Here is a 6,052-nt window from a genome sequence, read left to right as displayed (position 1 = left end):
GGGGGGAGCATAGATGTCTTCACACCCAAAGAGGAGACCATAGAAGTCTTCACACCAGACAGGGAGAGTGTAGAAGTCTTCCACCAGAAAAGGAGAACATGGATGTTTTCACACCCAAAGGGAGAGTGTGGAGGTTTTCATACCAGACAGGGAACATGTGGAAGTCTTCACACTAGGCAGAGAGAGAGTGGAGGTTTTCACATCCAAAGCAGAGACTGTGGAGGTCTTCACACTAGATGGGGAGAGTGTGGAAGTCTTTTCACTGGGATTTAGTGTGCAGTGAGAAGCACTGTAGCCTGAAGAGGGAACTGTGGATCCCAGGATTTGAGAAATAGGGCCCAAGCTTGAGTGAGCTGATTTCTGAGAGAGCATCCAGGCTGGAGGGCCTGGCCTGAGATGTAGCTGGTGGGTGGGACATGGAAGCCAAGTTCCCATCATCACTCTCCATACAGGTGGAGCTAGGGTCTTGAGTTGGGGTCTGGGGTCCTCTTGGAGAGGGACATGGTGGTGGGAAGCCATGTGTGCACAGCAGGGTGAGTGTGGAAAGTGGTCAACTCTCCCTGTACCCCCAGGAGCAGTGGGACCTGTCTGCCTGGGCTGCCAGGCGTACAGCCAGCTCCCATTGTAGGAGGGCCTGGCCTGAGCAGGGGCCAGCCAGCTGTGGGAGGCTCCAGTTCTGGGGCTGGGCACTGTTGGGCACTGGCCTGGAGGGTTTGGAAGCTCAAGAGCCAGCCTGAGGGGGGCCCCTCCCAGTAGCCAGGGCAACTAGGGGGCAGGACAGAGCTTTTGGGCAACACAGGTCCCTGGGAAGGACTGATGAACCCACTGTTCATTCACTCATTTAGTTTATTCTTTTAATCTTTTCATACCTTAATTTTTGCAGTCAGGCAGCAGATATTTATGAGGTGCTGTGTCAGGGTCTGTGGCAAGCAGATGAGGTCCCTGCCTCTTCCTGTGGTATCCACAGCCTGGAGAGGGAGACAGACAAGCCAACAGGCTCTTCCCTCCCAGAGTGACGGGAGCAGTGTGGGGCATTCAGAGAGAGAGGGAAGGGCATCTATCCCTGAGAGGGCATGGTCAGAGAGGGCTGCCTGGAGGAAGTGACAGCCAGGCTGAGACTTGAAAGACCAGTGAGAAGTGAGCAACGTGAAGTGGGTGGCGGGGAAGTCTGAAGTGCAGGGCACAGCCTATACAAAGGCTGGAAGGCAGGAGAGGGTAGTTCAGGGCCTGGGGGAGCGAGGACCCTGGCACTGTGCTGTGCTCCAGGACCTTGGCCTGGGAGCAGGTTAAATTTTCATCCCTCCTCTCTCCACGATCATAGCTACTGCTAATCCCTCCATTGGCGCTGATGGCCTCAGGCCTGGGGATGGGTCTGGGGTGTCAAGGCTGACTCCTGATGGGGCTAACTCTGGGACTGAAAGCCCTGTTGCGTCCTGGGGACCACTGGGGCCAGAGTATCTGCAGCACCTGGACAGATCCTGGCTCTGAGGAACCTGGAGAAAACATGGCATGCCTAGAAGGATGAGCGTGGCTGGGACTTACACTTGAGAACCAAAAGATGACAAATATTCCTGTCTAATTCCAGGATGGCGGAGGCAGGAGGCCAGGGTGGGAGGATCTGAGCCGGGTGTGCAAGTGGGTGCGCGCTGGGGAGGTAGCCTCCTCCGCGGGGGGGCCGCACCTGCCAGCAGCTGCGGGGGCCAGTGAAGGCCAATGAGGTTTATTTCCCTGCGACTTAACTTGCCTCACTCTCCTGAGCACCTTGGTGCAGATGAAAGAGGACGATGCATCACAGCCTCACTGGCTGAGGGTCAAACACTGTGCAGACATGGGCACGGCGAGCATAGCTGTGGGCAGGGACCTTCTCCGTGCACAACCCCCAAGCATGGAAGCACGCTCAGCTGTGCCAGAAACTGACCACAAATCAATACATCAATGTGATCAGCTGCCTCCTGCCAGGGAGGTAAGAATGTTCCAAGAAAGCAGGTCCTCTTCCAAGCAAGGAGAGGTTTTTCCATTTTCAGCCTCCTTGGCATCCCTGAGGCTTATGGCCTGCTATGTGCCTGCCTGGTGGAGGGGAAAAGGTCTCTTTTGATCACCCATAGCATTTAGGGAGCCGCCGGCAGGAAGGGCCAGGACTTGATGCTGCCTCTGCACGTGCACCGCTGAGCTTTATGCTTGGGTCAGTTTTGAAAGTCCTGCTCCCCATTGGCCGTGCAGCCCCATGCCTCTTCCACCATGGAGGCAGACAGAGGGGCCCCAGGGAAACTCCAGGGCCAGGCATGTGGCTGGCCGTTGGTGATGTGGGCTCAGATTTACTTTTTTTTTTTCCTTTTTTTTTTTTTTTTTTTGCCATGGAGTGTCTGAGAGTTTTTCAGTGGGCTTGGCTGCTGCACAAACCTGAAGAGGGAGGCTTTGAAAGAGGGGGTGGGAAGCTTGTGTCTACAGGCTTGGCTCTGGAAGATGGTGCATGGGGAGGGGGACACTGGGCCCGTACATCTTGGACAGGGTCAACTGCGGAAGATGGACACTCAATTGGCTGGCAGGGATAGGCTGGGTGAAGAAGACAAGCCGATCTGGGTCCAGGCTCTGCAGGGTGTTTATTGAGACTGTTAGACGCATTTCCTTTAAGAGGGTGCAGATGGAGCTGGCAGCATCTGGTGGATACCACAGGGCTTTGCAGGTGAGTGGTCAGACCAGGGAGGCCACGGGGTCCAGGAGGGGCCCCTGGTTCCCTGAAATTTATTAGAGCCCAAGCCTGGGAGGTCAGAGGGACGTCTTGGTGACATGCTGGGGAGCTGGGTGCAGTCTTGTGAGAGTGCAGATTTGGGGTGCATTCCAGCCCTGCTGTGTAACTTCCAGGCCCCTTGAGATTGGACTTCCCTATTGTGGGATTATGTAAAGTTCTTAACAGTACCTCTCTGCTCCTGAGTACCTACTGCGTGCCAGGCCCCTTGCATCTCTCATAGGATCGTGCCACATCTTGGAGGTGGGCACGGTCTCATTTCATGGAGGAGTCTGATGAGGCTTTGGGAAGGTCGTTAACTCACCCACACCTGGAGACCTGGAACTGTACCTGGTCTGTCTGGCTTCAAGTCTGGGCTCTTTCCCCACCCCGTGTGGCTTTAACATGTGGGACTGTGTGTAGCTTTGCGCTGGGCACATAGTGGGTGCTCAGTAGACATTAGCATGGCCCCTTTCTCTCCTTCCCTCCTCAGAGCCTCTTTCCTCCACCCTCTGGCTATGCTCAGCTCCATACACATTTATTGGGGGCCTCATAGGCGCAGGCAGCTGAGCCCAGGAAAAGACCCGTGCCCCCTTTCTGCAGGGCAGAGGCTGCAGGGAGGTGGCTCCCCACCCCGAAGCCCTGCTTCCCGCTCCCAGGGAGTGGCCATGTGGTGAGTTCTTGTAAACAGAATGCGAGTGGAAGGGTGACGTCATTAAATGACATCATCAGAGGTGATTTCATTAAAAACTGGGTGTGCCATCCCCATAGAGAGGGTTCCAAGGGCCAAGGGGAGGGTGGGGCTACAGGATGGACAGAGCTTGGATCCTGAACGAGCATGGGGAAGGCTGCCCGGCCAGGAGCATCAACATTGGATGTGACCGGAGACCTCAGCTGTTACTCTGTTAAGCCACTGAGACAGCAGCTAGCATCACCTTCACTAATCAGGGGGTCCTCAGAGATGGTGGCAGAAGACCCCCTCTCCCTCTGGGAGTTCACCAGTGTAGGAGGGGATAAGGCAAACATAAGACAGCTGTAACTAAAAGTGCATGTTGGAAAAGGACATGGGGGAGCTGGAGGTGGGAGAGTTCTCGTGGGAGATCAGGGAAGAATTTAACACCCGTGGCCAGGAAGAGGCCATTTCAGAGCTGCTACAGGAGAGGAAGGGAGCCCCATCTGAGAGCTAAGCCCAGGTGATATGTCTGAGGACCCCGGCGAGTAGAGGGGCCAGTTGGCACAAGACTGAAGAGGATGGGCTTGATTTTGTAGGCAGTGGGAGCCATACAATGTTAACGAGAGAGCATGACAGAGGCCCTGTGCTTTAGGCGGATCATTCCATTTGCTGTTCAGTGGCTGTCTGGAGCAGGAGATTTCGACGTGGGAGACCAGAAGGATTGGGGAGGGGAGGAGCTCTGAGAGAGTGGGCTCTCAGGACCTGGAGACAGAAGAGGGGCAGTGAATGCAGGCAGGCAGCCATGTGAGAGGCCTCTCTCCTCTCCTCTAGGCTGTGCCCCTGGTGTGGGGGTGGCACCCTTTGCAGAGATAGAGAGCCAAGGGAAGGAACAGCAGGATGCTGAGGGGGACTGTGCCAGAGTCTGTTGACCCCAACGTGGACAAATAGCCCTTCCTGTGGTCTGAGGCCAGGTCCTGGGAACCAGCCCCAGGGTTCTGCCCTTCTCTTTGGTACGGTCTGGAGCTTGTCACTGCCAGGGGCCGGTGCCTCGGGGTGCACTGGGTACTCGAGGGCCCTCAGAATGCCTGCGCAGCCCAGCTCATGCCTCCTGTCCCACAGACGCCCCGTGCATACTTTCTGGAGCTGGTGGAGGTTTGGAGAGGGAGTTGCTCTGCAGAGCCTGAACACGCGGGACCACGAGGTAGAGAAAAATGATGCCGCAAGCACAAACACACCAAGAACTCATCGTTTCTGTGTTGCCTGAAAAAATCTATAGACTTTGCTTTTCTGCATTTGTGAGAAATCTGCCTTGCAAACAGGTTTCAAAAATAATCCCTCTTGCAGATTTGTGTTGTGCTCACCATCTGCAGGGACAGGGTGTGGACGTGTGTGCATGGTCTGCGGGTCTAAGCCTGGGACAGAACAGGACAGGGCAGGCTTAGGTCATGTCAGGAGGGACGGGGTAAGACTTGGAGAGCTCTGCGGTTGGCTGTGAGAGGCAGTGAGTCACGGGGCCACCGCGCCAGCCATGGTTGGGGGCTGGAGGGGTGCTGTGCGTGGTCAAAGCCTGAAGTCAACTTGCTGATATCAACCTGGAAGTGTCCTCTGAGTCCATCCCGTCCTCTCCTTTCCTGCAGTCATGGCCCCGCTTAGGCCCCAGCAGCTCTTGCCTGGCTACGGAAATCTCTGAACTGGTCACCTGTGTCCAATCTCTTCTTCTACCACACAGTCCCCAGGCAGATAGTCCTGAAAACCCATCTGCACCTCTGGCCACCACACCGATGATGCTTAAAAACTTCCCTCCACCCCTTAATGTCTACGAGATGAATTCTAATATTCTGGAAAGGTGACGCCCTGCATCCGCCGGGTCTCACCTTATTCACGGAGCTCAGAACCTTTGCGGTGTCCTGGGCCTGTGTGCCGCTGCTTGTGTTCTGATGTGCTACTCTTTCTGCCACAAATATCTTCACTTCTCTCCCATCTCTTTGTCTGGGGCGGAGGGGTGGGGGTGGTGGTGAACCAACAAGGCCCAGCAGTAACTAGAATAGCAGTTCCCAGAGGAGATGGGCATCTTTGCACTCGAGTGACATGATGGCGTGCCACCGGGTGGAGTTGGTGGGCGCATGCATGCATGTGCATTGTGTGATGGGCGCACCTTTGCATGCACAGCCTGCCTCCTGGGAAGGTCACGTGGCAGAAACAGCTTAGGTCTGAGCCTTGCTTTGGGGTGCAGCCCCTGCAAAGTGTGCCATTCTTCCTTGGCTGTCCTGACTGTGCCCTGCTGCTGGACATCTAGTCACAACAGCCAACACCCCAAGCAGGAGACTCAAGAATTACTGCACATCCGCAAGCGCAGCCCCATGGACGTGTGGGTGTGGGAATCGGAGCAGTTGTAGTTTGCAGAGGCCGACCTTCAGACAAGCAGGGACCCGGTGATTTCTTGGTAAGCAGCTGCACCGGTCTTTTGTAGCATAACAATGGGGTTTGGAGAGCGGAGCATCTGAGTAGGCCTTGGCTGGGGAGCTTTTGTAGCTGGTTCTGTCTTTGCCAGCCACCTTCACTCAGCAGGCACAGAGGAGACCTCAGCCAGCCTCCCAGGGCCTGTTTACAGCCAACCCTGTGGCTCTTCTCACCAGGCGTGTGGCCGCGTCTCA

General features: G+C 55.8%; 1 annotated feature.

Annotated features, from left to right (window-relative positions):
• Positions 5,312 to 5,811: an enhancer, noted in NCBI's record as "H3K4me1 hESC enhancer chr10:126009557-126010056 (GRCh37/hg19 assembly coordinates)". NCBI's record gives its function as "activates a minimal SCP1, AML or CMV promoter by ChIP-STARR-seq in naive H9 embryonic stem cells {active_cell/tissue: H9 hESC(naive)}" and the evidence as "EXISTENCE:reporter gene assay evidence [ECO:0000049][PMID:30033119]".

This window comes from Homo sapiens, chromosome 10 (assembly GCF_000001405.40).
Source record: "Homo sapiens chromosome 10, GRCh38.p14 Primary Assembly".
NCBI classification, from domain to species: domain Eukaryota; kingdom Metazoa; phylum Chordata; class Mammalia; order Primates; family Hominidae; genus Homo; species Homo sapiens.
This window is presented reverse-complemented; position numbering and strand designations above follow the sequence as displayed.